We start from the raw sequence: 20,246 nt of genomic DNA on the forward strand, positions 1-20,246 counted from the left end.
TAATTTGTTAATTTGAAATGATCCACAAATAACCAGTGCAAAGTAACCAATACGGATATAACACAGAAATTAAGAGAAGATTTGCAAAAAGATTAAATATTTTTCAGTCTTTGTTCTTACAGGCAAAGACAAAAAAGATAGCTAATTTCCTTACATTGCCGTTTTCCTGAAGAAGGTGAAAAGTGGATCCAATAAGTGACTATTTCTCCACAGGTAATGCCCCCTCTTTCTTTGTGACCCAATTTTAGGATCTCTCTGGCTCAGGTTTTTAGTCCTCACGGGTGGCAGGAATTACAGTCGGTTTAGGCAACTGTGTCTCTTCCCAGAGCCAGCACCTGCTGGGTACATGAGTTCAGCTTTCCTATCCATCTGCATAACTAAGGAGGAAACAGCCCATGCTGAAGTAATGAAGTATCATCCTTCCTCCCACTCCTTCCTAGGCTGCTATTATCCCATCTCTTTGCCCCTGAAATGAACCTCTAAAAAACCTGTTCACTTCATTTGTTCTCTCTGCAAAGCATTTTATGGACCTCAGTCTCTATTTTCAGTTACTAAAAAGACCAAGCAGCCGGACTATGGCCTGGAGACATTTGTGAACGAAGTGGAATCCGCTCTGGCCCAGCAAGTCAAGCACTTCTCAGCCCTGACAGATGTCATCAAGGCCTTGAGCCCTGCCATGCAGCTGAAAGAGCAGGTTAGCAGACAAATAAGCAACAAGAAACATCCCCAGTGACAACTGCAAATAAAGATCTGCTTGATTTGACACCCAGCCTCTTCCTCCACCCTCCCCAGAGAACTTTGGGCAACTGGTGGACCTAGGCAGGGTCTGAGCTGAGACAGGCTCTGGTAAATGTCAATATGAGGGCATCTGGGGCCAGAGCAGCTGGGGATGGGGATCAGAGTGACATGGGACACTACTTTCCTTTTCCTCAGTTGTCGCCCTCAAGGGAGGAAGGAGCTCTTAGTAACCCTTATATGTTGCCCTGCTTTCCATAAGAAGGGAATGCTGTCTGGTGTAGAGTTTTCTGTCAGTAGTGTCCTGCCTGTGTGTCCTGGCTCTGGCGGGGAGCCAGGACAACCCCAGGGAACACAGCTCTCTGCTGGCTCTAAACCTTCCATACCTTTGGTTCGAGCACTGATATGTCTTATATTTTAAAAAATGTTTCTGGGACCTCTTTCTTCTTTGCTGCCTTCCTAGGGATGCACGAGGATCCCTACTGTTTTCTGTTTTAAATGTTTATACATTGTATGTAACAATAAAGAAAGAGAAAAAAAATTACATAGCATGAGTTCATTGTTTCCTTATTCAGTTTAAATTACCAAATGTTTATGACTAAGGACAAAAAAGAGCCTCAAAGTGACTTAACACAAAACAAACACCCCCCACCCACCATGATGGTTAATACTGAGTGTCAACTTGATCAAATTAAAGGTTGCAATGTTCCTGGGTGTGTGTGTAAGCCTGTTGCCAAAGGAAATTAACATTTGAGTCAGTGGACTGGGAAAGGCAGACCCATCCTTAATCTGGGTGGATACCATCTAATCAGCTGCCTGTGCAGCCAGAAAAAAGGCAGGCAGAAAAAAAAAAAAAAAAAACAAAAAAAAAAAACGTGAAAAGACTAGACTCGCTTAGCCTCCCAGCCTACATCTTTCTCCTGTGCTGGATGCTTTCTGCCCTTGAATGTCAGACTCCAGGTTCTTCAGCTTTGGGACTCAGACTGGCTTCCTCGCTCCTCAGCTTGCAAATGGCCTATTGTGGGATGTTGTGATTGTGTGAGTTAATACTCCTTAATAAACTCCCCTTTACATATACAACAGTCTTACTAGTTCTGTCCTTCTAGAGAACCCTGACTAATACACCCCCACCAAAACAAAAAACAAAACAAAACAAAACAAAAAACTAAAAAAAAAAAACCCTCTTAAATCATTCTTACTCTTTTCCGAAAAATGAGTATTTCCCTCCTATTCTATCTGTGTGCAATTGCACATTTAAAAAAAATTCTAGGAGTATCAAAAATAAAAGTTTACTTTCATTTCATGGCCCTCACAAAATCAGGAAATTGATTCACTCAAGCAATAAAAAGTTTATTGAGCACCTACACTGGTAAAACAAACAGCTAAAAATCACTGCCTTCATGAAGTCTGTAGAATTTTTTGTCTTCCTGCTTTCTATTCCCTATAGGTTTTGTCTTTATAAAGCATGTCTCTACTTAGATTATTAATTTGCCAAAAATATTTAATAGCTTTTAAGTTTTATTTAATAAAAACAAAGTCTAGAATCTCTACCATGTACCTTAAGCATCCTCATGTTCCCAAAACACTCCTTGTACATTACCACTTCATGACACTCCACTCCAGACATTCTTCTCTTCCACAGTCTCTAATACAGAAAGATTATTAACAAGTTCAAATTCTTCATGATACCAACTTAAATGTGTTCTATTTAGATCTGGTTTATTTCATCTGCGACTTCCCTGGAATTGTGTTTATTACTTATCTTATGGAATTTATATCATTCAGTTCTACAACATAGCTGTTTATATCCTTATGTTCCTAATATGTTATAAACTTTTGAAGGCAGTCGAAACGTTTTGTTCTACGTCACAACCATTCTTCTCCATTTCGGCCTCTAATGGAGAATACAGATAGTTCTCAGTAAATGGTGAATGAATTACTACTCCATTATTGCAATGTAATATTTGCATTATTCTTTAGGTTTGCTCTGCTACTCTGTATCTTATATGGTTGTTAGATACTGAGATTAATATAAATATGATCAAAGAGAGGAATATATGGTAGTAGTGGAATTAAATATCAAGTTCACCTGAAAAATATGAAGCTAAATTTTCCTAACGAGACACTATCCACATCCTAGGAATGAGGTTGCAACCTATGAAAACAAAATGAACTTCATCCCACAAAGATGTTTCCTGGGGCCTGTCTGCTGAACACAGGAAAGTACAGTGGGGGTTTGGGTAGCTCATATGTATTCAGCTATAATGTAATTTTCAAGATATATTATTTTAACATTATTTCTGGCAAATCTCAAGGGACTGTATCATTGGTTTCTCTGGAAAACAGCAGGAAGGCAATTTAATGAAATTAAATAAATTAAATTAAATAATGAATATTGCAAGTGTATCTGCCATCTTTTGCCAATACTGATTAGTCTACTTTTACTAGTACTTGCATTGCCTTCATAAGTAAGGAATGGGGATATTTTAAATAACAATTCTTATGGTCAAGTTATGCTTTGGAAATTTCAGAGTTGACAAGAAAATATTGATTTTCAGGTATTATTTGGTCAGGCTCCTGCTTTACTTCAGTGTGACTCTGTGGAGTGAAAGCGACACCCTGCAGAGGTTGGCTCAAGTGTCTGATTTACACTCAGAAAATGGGAATGAGTTTAGTCACCAAAAAAATTTTGATTTAGTGATTTCTTCCATTCATGGCGTCTTAGGCATTCAATCATTTGATTTCATTTTATACCAAATCTCAGAGCATTCATTACTGCTCTAAGAAGAAGACACCCAGAGTCTGGGGTTGATCTGTTAATTCTCCATTTGGTCCCTCTTGAGCTGGAGGTTTGGCAATTGTAGCTGCAGAACATGGTACAAAGTTGCATTAAGAGCTTAGAGAATATCTCAAATCATTTTAAGCAATATGGTACTCTGTGTAGCCATGAACATTGCAAAAATAATAGCAATGACAATGAATATCACAACTGTATCTGCCATCTTTTGCCAATACTGATCAGTCTTAATTCATGTGATATGTGTTTCCTCCTATCAACCCAATTCTCCCATTCCTTTGTTTAATTTATGTTTCAGTTCTTTCAGGTTGATCTTTCTGGAAAAACTCATTAATCTCTCCAAATATCCATTCACCCTTCCTGCCAGTATTTGCCAAGCACCTACCATATACATTTTGCTATGGATTAAATGTTTATGTTCCCCCAAAATTCATACAAAAAACCCTGATCCTGAATTTATGTTATTTGGTGGTAAGGCCTTTGAGAAGTACATTAGACCATTCTTTCATTGCTATAAAGAAGTACCTCAGACTGGATAATTTATAAAGAAAGGAGGTTTAATTGGCTTATCGTTCTGCAGGCTGTAAAGGAAGCATGATGCTGGCTTCTGCTCAGCTTCTGGGGAGGCCTCAGGAAACTTAAATCATCCAGAAGGTGAAGGAAGATCAGACACTTTACATGGCTAGAGCGGGAGCAAGAGAGAGCAAGGAGCCACACACTTTTAAACAGCCAGATCTCATGAGAAGTCACTCACGACTGTGAGGACAGTTCTAAGAGCATGGTGCTAAACCATTCATGATAAACCCACTCCCATATTCCAATCACCTCTCACCAGGCCCCACCTCCAATACTGGGGATTACAATTCAACATGAGATTTGGGTGAGGACAAGATCTAAACTATATCAAGAAGTAATTAGGTCATGGGAGTGGGGCTCTCGTAAGAGGATTAGTGCACTTATGAAAAGAGACATAAGAGAGATGATCTCTCTCTCCACCAGATGAGGATTCAGCAAGAAGGCATGCATCTACAAATTGGGAAGAAGACCTGCACCAGGAACCAAATCAGCCTAAGGATCAATAGGCCAGATTGCCTCTGCCCAAAGCCTTCATGGTGGGGGCTCTTGGAGCTATAGGAGAATGACCCCTGTCAAGTAGAGCCCTGGGAATGTGACCCTCACCTAGAAAATCTATAGAGACAGGATAACTGCCCCAGTGGGTGCAGAAAGTGGGAGTTCTGCCCCACTGGGTTTGGGAGACAGGATTTCCACTCTAGTGGGTCTGGATGGCAGGGCCACCACTTCTAGTGAGTCTGGAAAACAAATCATTGAGCTAAAGCAGGCTATTCTTAAGCCTTATATCTCATGAAGTTTACATGCTAGATCTTGGCTTGCTTGGGAACTGTCACCCCTTTCTTTCCCATTTCTCACTTTTGGAATGAAAATGTCTATCCTATGTCTGTCCTGCCATTGTATTTTGGAAGCACATAACTTGTCTGTTTTCATGGGCTCATAGCTGGAGGGAAATTTTGCCTCAGGATGAATTAAACCTTCAGTCACACCCGTAACTGACTTAGATGATATTTAAATGAAATTTTGGACTTTAGACTTTAGTGTTGATGTTGGAACACATCAAGACTTGGTTATTGGGATTAAATGAATGTATTTTGCAAGTGAAAAGGACATGAATTGTGGGAGGTCAGAGGCCAGATCTTATGTACACAATATTTGTGTTCCCCCAAAATTCAGATGTTGAAGCCCTGACTCCCAGTGTGATAGAGGCCATGAAGTCATGTGGGTGGCACTCCCATGACAGAATTTGTGCTCTTAAAAGAAGACACAAGAGAGGTTATCTCTCTCTCTCCACTATGTGAGGATACATCGAGAAGATAAGACGACATCCATCTGCAACCCGGGAAGAGGGCCCTCACCAGGAACCAAAATGGCTAGCAACTTGATCTTGGACTTTCCAGCCTCTGAAACTGTGAGAAATAAATGTTTTTTATTCAAACCACCCAGTCTATGGCATTTGTAAAATCAGTCCAAACTGACTAAGACATGTTGCTTCTTAAGCCAGGATCTATGGAGGATCAAAAAAATGTAATACAGAATATTTTTCTTGAGGAAAGTAGAATGTAGTTTAATATAAACATAAAATAACAGAGGTGAAGATAGTACATCAATCTAGGAAACTGCAGTTACTTGTTTTTTTCAGGAAGATTTTTATTTGGATAGCTAATGATTCAGCTGTCATTGGTTTTTTTTTTTTCCAAAGGCAGCCGGAGAAAAAATTTCCACTAAAATTTTTATAACTATATCAGCCTCTTTGTTAATAAAGAATTTTAATTTTAACTAATGCTGATTATGTTGAATATAAAAATGTCTTTCAGTATGGTATTTTTAAAAATAATCTCATCTATACTGAAAATGGAACCTTATTTATAGAGTCCCTTTAAATGCTATTGTTGTTCTCTCAGGCTCTCTAATAGGGCCCTAATAACCTTCAGCAGCATCTCCAAAGGGTCAAATCTTTCCCAGGTTCTCTGTGTCAGTGTGGCTGAAGATCAGCCTGCAATTGCAGAGCTCTGTTGCCTTTCTGAGTGTCTTTCTGCCCTGAAATTGTGTAGCATGCTTGAGTTTTTCATTTACCTAATTGGTACTTAGGTCTTATGTATTGAATTGTCCTCCCTTAGTCAGATAATTGAAGTAGTAGACTGCACTCTTTGCTCCTCTTCATTCAAGCATCACCTCTATACAGGGAATTGCTTATAAAATAACTCAATGTTTTCTGTCAAGAATTGGAAATATGATCTGTCTTGTAGTTACTAGCCCTCCCTTCTGGTTAATTTTGCAATTCTCTCCCACTCATGGCTTAGATGACCCGAGGATTAATTATTTAAAAAGTGCTGACAGTGTATTTTTATATCTGGGAAGACAGAGTTGTCAATTAAGCTTAAGCAGATGACATTTGACCTTATTTAGTATTATTTATTTTTTAGCCTCAGACTACACGAAGTTTAGGAGAATGAACTTGATAGCTGTAAAGCTCAGGGTCCAAATCTTTACTCTGCTCTGCAGCCATAATTTATCCTTTGTAAAGGAAGGGTGATAATAATATGTTTATGACAAATAACATATATATATATATATATAAAGTGCTTGGTAAATGGAGCACATAGCAAGTACTCTGTAAATAATAATAATAATAATAATAATAATAATAATAAGCCAGGCAGGTTTAAAAACAACATATCCATGTCATAATATATCCATATTTACATCTGTCTATATCCACATATACCTATATATCCATATCCATATATCTTTGAGGGATCAAGGTTGACTTTCATGGAGCCAATAAAAAGCCCGTTAGAATAACTGGCCTAGTATCGTGTCTACTCAGTTCCCTTTTAAGATCTTTGATCTTCTAGTTAGTAAAGAAAGTCATTTTCTGATAGGCCCAGTAATGAGGACCTTGAGAAGGGTGAAATTCACCTAATGCATACAGGTATGTAGACACCATCTGAGAACAAGTCAAATTCTTGGCTTAGCTTCCTAGTTTGAGAGGTTTTCACAAGTTCAATCTTAGTTTTTTAAGAAAAAATTTCATCAATGCCAACTTTAAAATAACCTATATTAAAAATCATTATTCTTACTGCACTTTATGCAAATAATCATCCCAAGTTAATGAACTAAATTTACTTTACAAAGAAATAGTTTTATCATAAATACCTTTGGTGGAAATGGGGGAATGAAACAGAGAAAAATTATGTGGCAGAAGAAAACTATACTGCACTTATTAGATTCTAGGCATTGTTTTTGAGTGTTATTATTATTTGAACTGAATTCTGAACTTTCTGTTTTTTCCATTATATGACTGTGACTCTCTGGACTAAGGTTTATAAGCTTTATCTTATCCTTCTTCCTTGAAATCATTAAAATTAAAACTTCTCTCTTTTTTTGAGGTCCTACAAACTGAAGTTAAACAATTTGATATAAACTTCAAATAAATCACCACAATGGCTTATGTATAATTAACCTTTGTGCCTACTGCTGTATCGACTATTCACAACATTTATCTGATGCAAACTATAAACCAGGAAAAGCTGTGAGATTTCCACTGTCTACTCTTTTTCCATCTATACATGCTTCCAGTGCAACGTCTAAAAATCTTGGCTGGCTGCTCTCTGGACTAAAACAAACAAACAAACAAACAAAAACCCTGAGTTTTATAGTTTGTTCTAAACATAAAGCTTTGTTTTCTTCTTTCAGGAGAAATTCCTCTTATTAAATATTTGATTGCTCACACTATATAGAGCCCTGACTTTGGTGGGTGATCTACAACATCACTGCCTGAGTGAGACACATCTGTAACCAATTTAACTGGACTAACCTATTCTTGAGACTGAGAGACTGATTCAGTGGCTTATGAGACAATCTACCACCCCAGTTTCTGGACTGTAAAAATTTTGGGAAAGTTTCAGACCAGGGAATGATGGGCCTCAGAAAACAATAACTCAAAGTGAAGGCTTAAAAAGCAGCCCCTCAGAAGCAAAGTCTCTCTCACCATTGCAGTGAGCCGAGATTGTGCCACTGCCCTCTAGCCTGGGCGACAGAGCAAGACTATGTCAAAAACCAAACAAACAAACAAACAGAAATCATAACCTGTTTTTCCCAAAGCCAACCATAAAGCCTAAAAATATTACTCTAATCTTGCATCCTGCCTTTCTGTGTAACAGCTGGCCATAAAGTAATTAAGATGTTCATTCCAAAGGGGTCCTACTCTAGATCTAGGAGGAGGAAATGCTCTAAAGAGAGGCCAAGAACACTCTAAACAGACCTTGCTGAGTTTCCCCCCTCAGTCTGGTTGCATTAGATCATTCCCTTTCTACATGCCTGTCCATATTTCATTGAACCTACGCATAAAAATGGATAGTTTTCCCTTATCTTTGGATCTTCATTCTGAAGGCTCCTGTGTCATATAAAAGTATGTTCATACAAATATGTTATGCTTTTCTTGCTAACCTGTCTTTGTCACACAGGTGTTGGCCATGACCCTTATGATGAGGAGGAAAGAAAACACTCTTTTCTGCTCCTGTAGAGCCATGTGTCAGGCTTTATATAAATGTTTAATTAATGAATAAATAAAATAATTAAATCTGTTGTTTAAGGCTGCAAGAGGCAAGAGTTCAAGATTACCTAGAGGAAATTGTGAGATTTCTAACACGGGATAGCAAACTTAGATAGGTGTTTCAGCAAATCTGAAATACTCTTTAGTCTAAGATTATCTGGTTATAACTGACAGCTATGAAAAATCCTTAAAAATCACATTTTTGAGTGAAATAAAGTGCCAATTATCTTCAACTGCTCATTATGTAAGTCCTTAAGTGACTATCATTTGAGAAATCTTCTTTTTTTTTTTCTTGTTAATTCTCCCTGGAAATTAGCTTCCAGCATCACAGCTAAATCCATTTTCCTCAATGCATCTTCTTTTTTTTCTGCCACTTCTGTCAAAATACTCACACAATGTCTCCTTACTTGAAAAGAATATTTATAAATATGTATACGTATACACACACATACACACACATGTACACACACACACGCGTACACACACACACGCACACACACACACACACACACAGATTTCTAAAGTTTCCAAAAAGAAATGTATGAATGTTTTCTACAGTTCCAGTTCCCTTTTAATTGCATGGCAAATTCCCTCTCTCAAATGCCTTTCAGGCAGCCTGGATATTAGCCATCAAAAATGGAATATTGGCTGTCTCAATTATGTAAAAAGCTTATCTGATTCTAAGGGTCACTGAAGTTTTCAGTCCTCTTCCAAAAATAAAGGATATAGCTAGTGTAAATGATTCAGTTGCATTACTGGCTTTCAAATAACAATTAAATTGAGTGTAGGAGGGAGGCTATCTTACTTATGACTATTTCCTCTAGTGAATAGTAAAATACATCAGCTTTTTATCATATAAAGGGGCAATTGACTTAGTGACAAATAGACACACTGGAAAAGAGCTATTCTGAAGTCAGGCATATAAATCTCATTAATAAAAAAAAAGAAAAAAAGGATGAAGTATTTCCTTTATAGATATTTACTAGACAGGATCAGATATCATAGATATGCAGAACAGTCAATCTTCTTCCATTAAATCCATCTCAGTACAGCACAGGATCAATATTAAAACATAAAAATAAATGTAGAAATCACTTAGTCTTTCTTCTGAGTGAAAATAGCCATGTGGTGAAAACTTCTTACATCTTTTTTTTTTTTTTTCAGACAGAGTCTTGCTCTGTCACCCAGGCTGGAGCGCAGTGGCATGACCTCAGTTCAATGCAGCTTCCACCTCCTGGGTTTGAGCGATTCTCCTGCCTCAGCCTCTCAAGTAGTTGGGACTACAGGCATGGGCCACAACACCCTGCTAATTTCTGTACTTTTTGTAGAGATGGGGTTTCACCATGTTGGCCAGTCTGGTCTCAAACTCCTGACCTCAAATGATCCACCTGCCTCAGCCTCCCAAACTGCTAGGACTATAGGCATGAGCCACTGCGCCCAGTCCGTTTTCATATAATAATAGAAACAATCGAAGAGACCAGGTAGAATGGGTGGATTTCTCATTTTTATAATAATCTTGAATTCTTTTCCACCCATACCCCATCCTTCACCTTTTTTTTTTTTAACATTTATATTTGATTAGAGTTAGAGGGATCTGGCTTCCAAAGTTTTAGGGAAAAAAATAGAGTTAGAAAAATTAAAACTAATTCCTATCATCCAGGTTCTTTCAAATCCAATTGTATTGGACAGAATAAGTCTACCAATATATTTTTTACATTTGCTGAAGCCTTCTGATTTTGTAAATACTTTCATGTTGATTATTCTGTTATTAAAACAATTCAGTTGAACAAGTGTAACTTTCCTCATTTAGATATGAGAAGACCAAATCCCAAAGACATTAAATACTCTGCTCAACAGTACAAGGTAAAATAGAAGAACTTTGAGAGAAAATAATTATTTTGACACACAATCTAGTGTTCTTTCCATTTTCCCTACTTTACCGTACATACTGGCTGACAGTATATGATTAGCTTCCTAAGTAAAGTCCTCTACAAACTCAGTGTTACAAAGTTTCTTGATAATTAATAATGTTAGTACACAATGTAGTTCCCCATGCCTAAATTTGAAGTTCATTTCTGATGAAACATACAAATAGGTCTGCATGAATTCACTGAGTATATATATGTATACATATCTTCACTTTTGTTCTTTTAATTTAAAGGTAGACTGCTATATTTTCTTAGGTTTTAAACAAACGTCAGTTTCCAAATAAAGGGAGAATAGTGATGACATATTGAGACCTTATTAATGACCTATGATACCTGTATCCTGAAGAAAACATATAAAAAGTTCAGAGGTTATGCCCTTTGGTTTGCATATTTACTTATAATATTTCAGTGGGCTTATTAGATTTTAGTTAGCTAATGCCAATGAAATTTATTTCTGCCTTTTAAAAAATTGTATTATAATTATTGGAAAAAATTTACCTAAGGACTATTCGGTGCTCACATGATGACATAATTTAAAATAAATGAAATTAAATAAATTTCACTTTGGCATGAAAAAATGGACAGTGTTTCTGAAGCTCTAATGCATAGAAGGACTGTGGTCTATAAAGGACTGTAATATGTTTCTTATGATTCACACAGGAGGAACAAAAAAAAATTAGAGACTTATCAAAGAAAATTATCTGAAGAAAATAGTCAAAACATTTCCACAAGGAGAATGAAGTCAAACTATGAAATAGGGCTCTTCATAAATCAAATAAGATCATAGTATTTTTGTTTTTCTGGAAATCATTGAGAACTTGTTAACTTAAAATAAGAATGATGCTTTCAATATTCTTTGATGCTTTCTATCAAAACACACTTACATCAACAAAACTAACAAAAAATAATGTTTATAATCACAGCATCTTGAATGGAATGTTCTGATGCAATATGGAAGAGGATGTTTAACTAAGAAAACACTTTTTCCTGTTATCACTATTACTGAGGTATCACAATTTTTCACAGAATCACCATTTAGTTAGTGTAATCTTGAATAAAACACAAGATAGAATATTATCTCCATGTAAAAATACTCAAAATTTATATAGGCAAACTATTCAACAATGGTGTCTCTTAATATTTTCACTTAACTTACCTAAACCTCAGTTGTTATTTTTCGTGAGTAAAATGAACATAATAATATCAGTACATCTTTGTGTGTTATTACAAGAATATGTAGTATAGCATATCTGCAGCACTTATATCATATTTGCTATGATAATCATACTTAGGAAAGGATAGTTATTAATTTTATTAATTTTGAGCTCGTGTCCCTGACATCCTATTTTTGACAGCTGCTTGGGCCCTTTCATTTGCTTGTGTGTTTTTCTTCACTGTACTTGGCCTGACTCCCCATCTCGCAGAAGCTACTCTCGTCTTAGGTAAGAACAACCAGCTCTTGCTCCATTTCATGGAACTTGATCAGATAGTTCCAATGTCACTTTTTCATTATTTGAAGAACAATTCCTGTTCAATATTTAGAAGAGGCAATTAGTTGTGTTGGATATTTTCTCCTCCAGCATTTTAAAGCTGTATTATTTTGTTGTCAGACCACTGTAAAGTACCAAAAAATGCTTATTTTTAACATTTAATGATTAATACAGAAGCAGTCACTATAGCCCTGTCAACAGTTTAATGTCCCTATTTACAGACACATATAAAAATGCCTCACAAAGCTACAAAAATCAATCTCTCCTGATGAAATGGTTTGCTCCTTTCTTTTTTTTTTTTTTTTGAGACGGAGTCTCGCTCTGTCGCCCAGGCCGGACTGCGGACTGCAGTGGCGCAATCTCGGCTCACTGCAAGCTCCGCTTCCCAGGTTCACGCCATTCTCCTGCCTCAGCCTCCCGAGTAGCTGGGACTACAGGCGCCCGCCACCGCGCCCGGCTAATTTTTTGTATTTTTAGTAGAGACGGGGTTTCACCTTGTTAACCAGGATGGTCTCGATCTCCTGACTTCATGATCCACCCGCCTCGGCCTCCCAAAGTGCTGGGATTACAGGCGTGAGCCACCGCGCCCGGCCCTGCTCCTTTCTTTTGGACGATAAGCCACTGTGTTATATTCTCTTTGCCCTATATGAGCAAAGGTCAGATTTTAGATTTTTACTGAGCTGCTACTGATTTCCCCAGAAAGTATATATGTATTAGTCTGTTTTCATCCTGCTGGTAAAGACATACCCGAGACATATAAAGAAAAGAGGTTTAATTGACTCACTGTTCCACATGGCTGGGGAGGCCTCACAATCATGGCAGAAGGGAAGGAGGAGCAAGTCACATCTTACATGGCAGGGAAGAGAGAACTTATGCAGGGGAACTCCTCTTTATAAAACCATCAGCTCTCATGAGACATATTCACTATCGAGAACAGCATGGGAAAAACCCACCCCCATGATTCAATTACCTCCCACTGGGTCCCTCCCATAACATGTGGGAATGGTAGGAGGTACAATTCAAGATGAGATTTGGGTGGGGACACAGCCAAACCATCTTATTGTGTATTACTTAATCATTTATATTTTTAAGAAGCTTTTTTATTTTTTATTTTACCCCAAAGTTTTCTTTAAATGGTTTCATCAAATCTCCATGTTTCTGTGTGTGGACATGTATATAAATTGATTTATATGTATTTTAGGACAATATAATGGGAAAAAATGTTATATATTCCATCTATAGAACTTAGTTTATGACTAGATTTACAGAATTGAAGGACTTTGGAGTGCAAAATACCTTAGTGATGATCTTATACAGGTGTACTTTCATTTTAGGGGTGAGAATATAGTAAAATATTTGGTATGAATCTATCATTCTTTGTTTTGTTTTTTTTTTGTTCTTTCTTTAGCCTGTATCCCTTTTTTAGCCTGATATTACACAGAGTAATATCCAATATGACTGAGTAATTCAGTAGTTTCAGTTTTTATCTCCCCTTCAATAAGAGATGAACTCTTAGCTAAGATCAGTAATGAGCATCCCAAGATCTGTTATTTTAATCTGCAATTTCATATTTATTTATACAGTTTACTTATTTCACCTCTAAAGCATAGAGATAGTGCTTATTATAGTTTAGATTTCAGTATAATTTGAGCACTTCAAGAAAAGTATTTGACTCATAGAACAGTGAATGATCAACATTTAACACAATGAATCCCTGTTAAGGGCATTTAAGAGGCTCTGTTGAGGATGTCTCTGAAAACCAATACTATTAAATCACACATTTCCCCATTGTTTGACTTCCCAAATCCCAAACAGAGACCTTACTGATTTTATTTGACAACTTTTTTTCTCCCACTGTTTGTTTCTTGTGCTTTCTCTACCCATTGGATGTTAGTCAAACAGTGACTTTTACCTTACTACCCAGGAGCTATTCAGCCCAGAGCTGCTTCTGTGGCTGTCAATCAATGGAAGCCCACAGGCCTCCCAGGCAAATGTGCTAACTCCAAGCTACCTTTCCAAAAAAAAAAAAGCCTGTCTCATAAGTGCCTATTGGGCTCAGAGCAGCATTTTTCCTGAAGGGAAGGCCAGAAGACACATTTTCTCCATCAATAGAAAAATGCAGTCAAGGATATACTCTTTCAGAATTCCATTTAAAATTATTATTGACATATATGTGGAGGACATTATGTGAATGGAAAATTTATCGTCATATGAGAATATGAAATTTTAAAGTCATAGAATTTGCTGGAAATGTAGTGGTCATCTGGGTCATTGGTTAACTGGATTGGCAAAATTGAAAACATGTTGATATATTTAAATAATTAGTTGAAGAAAAAATGTAGAAACATTTCTCTATAGGAATTATACAATACGCTGGAGTAGTAACCACGAAATAAAGTATTGCCCTTCTAAGATGCAATAGAAGTCCATATTCAGTGTAATACTGAGAAGGAAACAAGTTCTTTAAATAAGAGATGGGGTCCTTTTATAATTTCTGTAAGGGGTCACTAAGCTTTTTTTGTAAAATACTTGGTAGAAAACATTTTCTTACTTGCAGGCCATAGGTTCTCTGTTACAACTACTCAACTCTGCTCTTGCCACGTGAAAGAAGTCATAGATAATACATAAACAAATGGGTGTGATTATGTTCTAATACAACTTTATATACAAAAATAGGTAGGGAAAGGGATTTTTCCCACATGTAGTTTGTTGACTCCTGATCTAGAGGAAACACACAATTTTGGTTTTACTGGCCAGCTAGCTATGCAAACAAACAGATAAAGATTAATATCTGATGTAAGATTATCAACTATTCATTTTTGCATAGGGCTGTTTTTATTCTAAGTGTATGCTATGTTTTCCTCTTTTGCATGAACCTATCTTTGGTTTATGAAATAATGGTGAGAGCAGATGGCAAAATTTTGTTTAATATATTTCTTGGTCAAATAAAGACCTTCTCCACATTAGAAGGAAATATCTCCCCGGTCTATAAATCAAATACTATGGAATCAATCATTCATGTACCCTCTCACTTTCATAGATGCCAGAGTTCACTTAGGCAGCATTCCTGATAAGAGATTATTCAGTCTTTATTACTATTTCCAGGAACAGGAGATTCGCTACTTAACATGGTTTCAGTTCTATGTTATACTAGCTCTCTATATTGGAAATTCCTCCAGAAAATCTTAGTCATTTTGATGTGAAAATTATTCTACAATAGTAAGCCCATGAGCTGGAGATTCTAATTCTACTTTTTAGCAAGTCCATGTAGCTAGTAATTTATATTCTATATCTTCCTTTAGTAATGGTTAATAGCTTCGGCTTTGGGGTCTATCAGAATTGAGTGTGAATTACGACTCAGATACTAGTTGTAGTCCTTGGGAAAATGATGAAATACTAAGAGTCCCAGGTTCTTTCACTCAAAAATGCAAACATACTACCTATAATATAGGTATTTTTTGAGGTTTAACTAAGAAAATTAATATATTGCCTGGCAGACAATAGTATTCACACAAAGATACTGTTGATATCATATTGCTACCAAGGATAGTGAAAGAAGAGCTCAAATCATTATGTAAAATTACCTAAATTATTTTGGGTTTTATCATTCATTCAAATATATTAGGCACATACTATATGTAAGTATAATGAGGATCGAGGTAGAAGTATATTCAGCTCTTACAGATCTTGCACTCTAGCAGAGATAAAAAATGGTGTTGACTACACCCACATGAATCCTTAAAAGTGGCAGCAGTCAGTGGTGTAATATATCTCAGGAGTCTTTTGCCCATGTCTCAATACTTAATTCAGAACAGTAATAATCATCCTTATAATTAGTAATTATATACCTAGATACTACTCTTTCCATCATTTGCTATAGGGAATCACTGATACCAAGACTGTCTTCTGCCTGGGGATTGTTAACAAGATTTCTCCCCTGAATTTTCTAGTGGTTATACATTCCCTTCTTTATATTCGGAGAATGAGCTGTCATTGTTTCTTTAATAGATCCATATCACTTTTCATGGGTAGATTTCTAATTTGTAATTTGTAATTTCCTGATTAACTCTGCGAATCCAACATATGCTCTGTAACATTTCAGAATGGTGATGGGAGCAGTTGGCAATATGTGACGGCTGGAGAGCAGAAGAACACCTGGGAAGAGAAATGCTGACTTTTTCGAAGACTGCACCTCCTGTTACAGACCACAAGGAAAGGAAAATGATGGTGATTTCTTTGAGCAATAAACTGCCAGGTGACAGTCCCAGTCAGCAGCAGCAGACACCTGGGGTGATGAATTGAGCATAAAGCACACATGATTTCAGGATAAAGCAATGGAACAGAACTAAGAGAGAGACAGAGGGTACTATCAAAAAGAGGAGACTCGAAGGTTTCCTGAAAGAGCTGCCACTGAGGAACTTTGTGTTCCTCAGAAGTGACAGGAAAGGCTCCAGTAGCAGAGCTGAGGAAGTGGAGTCCAATGACCAGCACACAGTACCCACCTCAGAGGTGCTGGGCTCCTCATGCTCTCTGTGTTGGTCAAACAGAGCGCCTCACTGAAGACCTCTACATCGTGGGTTTACAAAGAAAATATAAACGAGCAGAGGAAATCACTTCTACAATTGCTACTATGTCCGTTTTCCTTTAAGATACATTAGCGTTTCAGTGTTCTGCAATTGCTTATGGTCCATTATTATTATGGTCTTTTTAACATAAATATTTTTGGTGAAATAAGGAAAAATCCCCTCTTAAGTTGGGGAGGCAGTTTAGATGAACAAAATTAGCTATGTATCAATTACTGTTGAAGCCAAATGATAGATACATGGTGTTGCCATACTATTCTCTCTCTTAGAATAGCATCCCTATCTGGAACCCTAAACAGCAGTCCAGCAAATATCCCACTTTTCTTCTCTACCTCACCACAAAACTCCCCACCCCCACCTGCATTCCCTATTCAGCTCATTCAATCTGGCTCCAGTTCCCAGAGATTCACTGAAAGTGCTTTTATGAAGGTCAGAAAGGATCTCCATGCTGCTAAATATAATAGACACTTTTCCATATATCTTATTCTATCTTTTGTTATATTTTAACTCATTAGATCACTTTCTGATTACTAAACCCCTCTCCTCTCTGAGTTTCACTCTTCTAGGTCTTCATCTGTCACACTGGAAACTCTTTCTCAGTCTCTTGCTCTTGTCTTTCAAATCTTCAGATACTGGCCTTGGGCTCTCTGCTGTCTGTCTACTCTGCCTGCTTGGGACAGATTTACATTCATGATTCCAAGTTTCATTTATTGTCCTGACCTCTTCCTTGAGAAAAAGCTTCATATATCCAATTATTCACTGACATTTTCACTTGAGTGTCTAACATGCCTTACAATTAACATAGCAAAACAGAAATTCTGATTTTTCTTTCAAATATCCTTCTCCTCTCCTCTATTCTACCCCATCTCATTGAATGGCATGCCTATTTTCCACATTGATGAAGCCAGAAAACTAAGAGGCATTCCCCATCTCCAATCTATCAGTCTGTTGGTTTTACCTGTATATTATGGGATTCCCCGAGTCCTCTTCACCTCCACTGTCATTACCCTCAAGTCAACCTCTCAGCTACTACTCTTGTTTCCTAAATGATATCCCTCTTCTGCTTCATGCTTTCTCTGCAACTCGTTCTCTACATAGCACTAAAAACATCTTCTAAAAATTAAAATTAAATCACATCATTTACGTGCTCCAAAACTTTCTATAGCTTCCTTTTGCATTTAGGGGAAAAATATACTAAACTCTCACCATGGCCTGTTATCCTTACTTGATCTGTCCAGCCCCAACTAACCTTCTCCAAGCCCAACTTAAGTCGCTCTCTTCCCCTCCTCTCAGTTTGTCCCATGCCCACTGACTTCAGTCTTAGAACAGAACAACTTTTGTCTTGCCTTCAAGCATTTTAAATGCTGTTCCCATCAATTAGCAACTTCCTGTCCTTAAACTTCAAGGCTCAGTTTAAAAGACAACTCTGCAAAAATGCCTCATTGTTGTATTGTTAATGTGTAATTTTTTTCACTCTTCATATTATGTCTCTTCTGGCAAGATTTTAAACTCCTTGATGGTGGTAGCTATAATTTTTCCTCTTATTGCTATATACTTAAATTCTGGCACAAAGTCTGACATAGTAAGTGTTGAATAGATGAGTTTTGAAGAAAACAGATGTAAAATAAATATTTATAATATAACCTTTATGTAATGAGTTAAGGATATTTTATTTAAGTAATCTATTTTTGCAAAACATGTTAAGTTTAGATTGAAATCTTTAAGCCTCAAATGTATTTGTCATATGATGAAATTGAGTCTCACTGTTTTTTAATACATGAGAGATATCCAAGAAAAAGTTACACTAGCAAGAAGACTTATTGATCACTCCAGGCAGCAGAATCTAGTGGAAATAAGTTCTGGCTGAAAAGTGTTGGTTCTCTCATTTGTTGCCTGCTGATCACTTTTTAGTTAGCCATTGTTCCTCTTCACTTCTGTGTGAAAATCTGAAAAGTGTCATCTAAGACTTTTTTGAAAGGGTAACATTCCTTATTGCCTTATATCACATTTTAGTAAACTAATCTGTAGGGCAACTGTATACTGTGGATTAATATGTTGAATAAATAGCACTGCTTTCACAACTTCCCCTTAAATCAAATGCCTCAAAAAAACAAAAAACAAAAACAAACAAAAAAAAAAAACCAAAAAAAACCACATCAGGCCTCTACTGAGTTAAACAGCGAGGGTTGAGAAGCCATTTTATCTCTACAGACATGTGTTCAAAATCCATAATTATTTCTTGTCATGTCACAAAAGGAAAAATAGAATATACTTCCATGAAATACCCAGTTGTAATCAACTCCACAGAGAATCTTGCTCTGAGAGTTCTTTCCTTCTCTTCAACTGGTTCTTTTGTACTGTAATTGAATTGAATTTGCTCCTGTCTCCATTCCTCACAGACAGCTTCTCATTTGAGGGGTCTGAAGATGTATTACACTAATACATCGTCAGAATGACAATGCTATGATGATGCATGGGTGTAATACATCTTCAGAGCTTCAGCACTGTTCAGAAACAATACGGCTGGTACTGAATTACATTCAAATCAAATGCAAAATGAAAATAAAAAAAAAAAACCTGGCTAACAGGAAAGGTGAAAAAAACCCTCAAAAACAAAATTGTTTAATAAATTCCATAATTCTATATATTTTGAGGGCAAGTTCTCAAGACTTTAGAATGGCTTTAATTTATAAATTTATGCAATAATATTCTCTATAAATTTCTGAAGATTACACTGAAACAGAGCCTTAGACAAAAAATATACAATGAATCTAGTTTTTTAAGTCATGATCTCTCAGGCAAAATTTACATACAGCATTTATGTGCAATAAATGTTGCATTTTACCTCTTTTGTCGAACTGTCAAAATTAGCTTTTCACCATTTCATGAGATATTTGTATTATGCTAGGAGACATTTCATGGGTTTTGACTGTCTTCCCTCTGGACAAAATTCCCTTTGAGACATTTTATAGGGAGTCAAAGTGCTGTCTTCTGATAGAGAATGCTCTCCATAAAATTTTTAAAACTTTAACAGGCCAAAATTGGAAGGCATAACAACCTAAGATTAGATAATTTGCCAAAATTAATAATAATAAGAAGAAAAACTTGGCACCATCATTAACAGCCCTCTGGTCCTAGTATCCTTTACATCTTTTTACTTTGGCTTTGTTTAGGTTAATAGTTATATGGAAGTCTCAGAGAGACTTGGTTCCTTTATTCTAATGCCAACCGCTTAGGAAGCTATAGCTGTGTGAAAGACTCTTTTCTTTTGTTCTTAATTTTGACAGATTTTTTTTCTATAGCACAGAATGAAACCAGATAAAACATTCTCTTAAAAAATGTAACCCTTCTCTAATATATTCCATTTCTTGTCCTCCCCTCTCATCACCCAGAGTTTATGAAATCTGAATAAGTAAAAATTTTGTGTCTGGAAATCATTCTGGTGATTGCCCAGTAAACATTCTCCTCTTATACTGTTTATATAGAAGAAACAGAATACAAAATAAAATTTCACCAGTTTAGAAGGGCAATCATTAACTTGCATTTACCTGATTTTATCACATAAGAACACAGTATTCATCACGA

The 20,246-nt window shown here is 36.5% G+C and overlaps 1 protein-coding gene across 4 annotated transcripts in view, besides 1 other annotated feature; it reads right to left on the reverse strand.

Moving 5' to 3' along the window:
* The window catches only part of NEGR1 (neuronal growth regulator 1), an 886,597-nt gene that overhangs the window by 341,679 nt on the left and 524,672 nt on the right, over positions 1-20,246 (reverse strand). The gene's annotated exons all lie outside the window — the stretch shown is intronic.
* Positions 90-676: an enhancer, noted in NCBI's record as "OCT4-NANOG-H3K27ac hESC enhancer chr1:72203394-72203980 (GRCh37/hg19 assembly coordinates)". NCBI's record gives its function as "activates a minimal SCP1, AML or CMV promoter by ChIP-STARR-seq in primed H9 embryonic stem cells {active_cell/tissue: H9 hESC(primed)}" and the evidence as "EXISTENCE:reporter gene assay evidence [ECO:0000049][PMID:30033119]".

The sequence above is a fragment of the Homo sapiens genome, chromosome 1, assembly GCF_000001405.40.
Source record: "Homo sapiens chromosome 1, GRCh38.p14 Primary Assembly".
NCBI classification, from domain to species: Eukaryota; Metazoa; Chordata; class Mammalia; order Primates; family Hominidae; genus Homo; species Homo sapiens.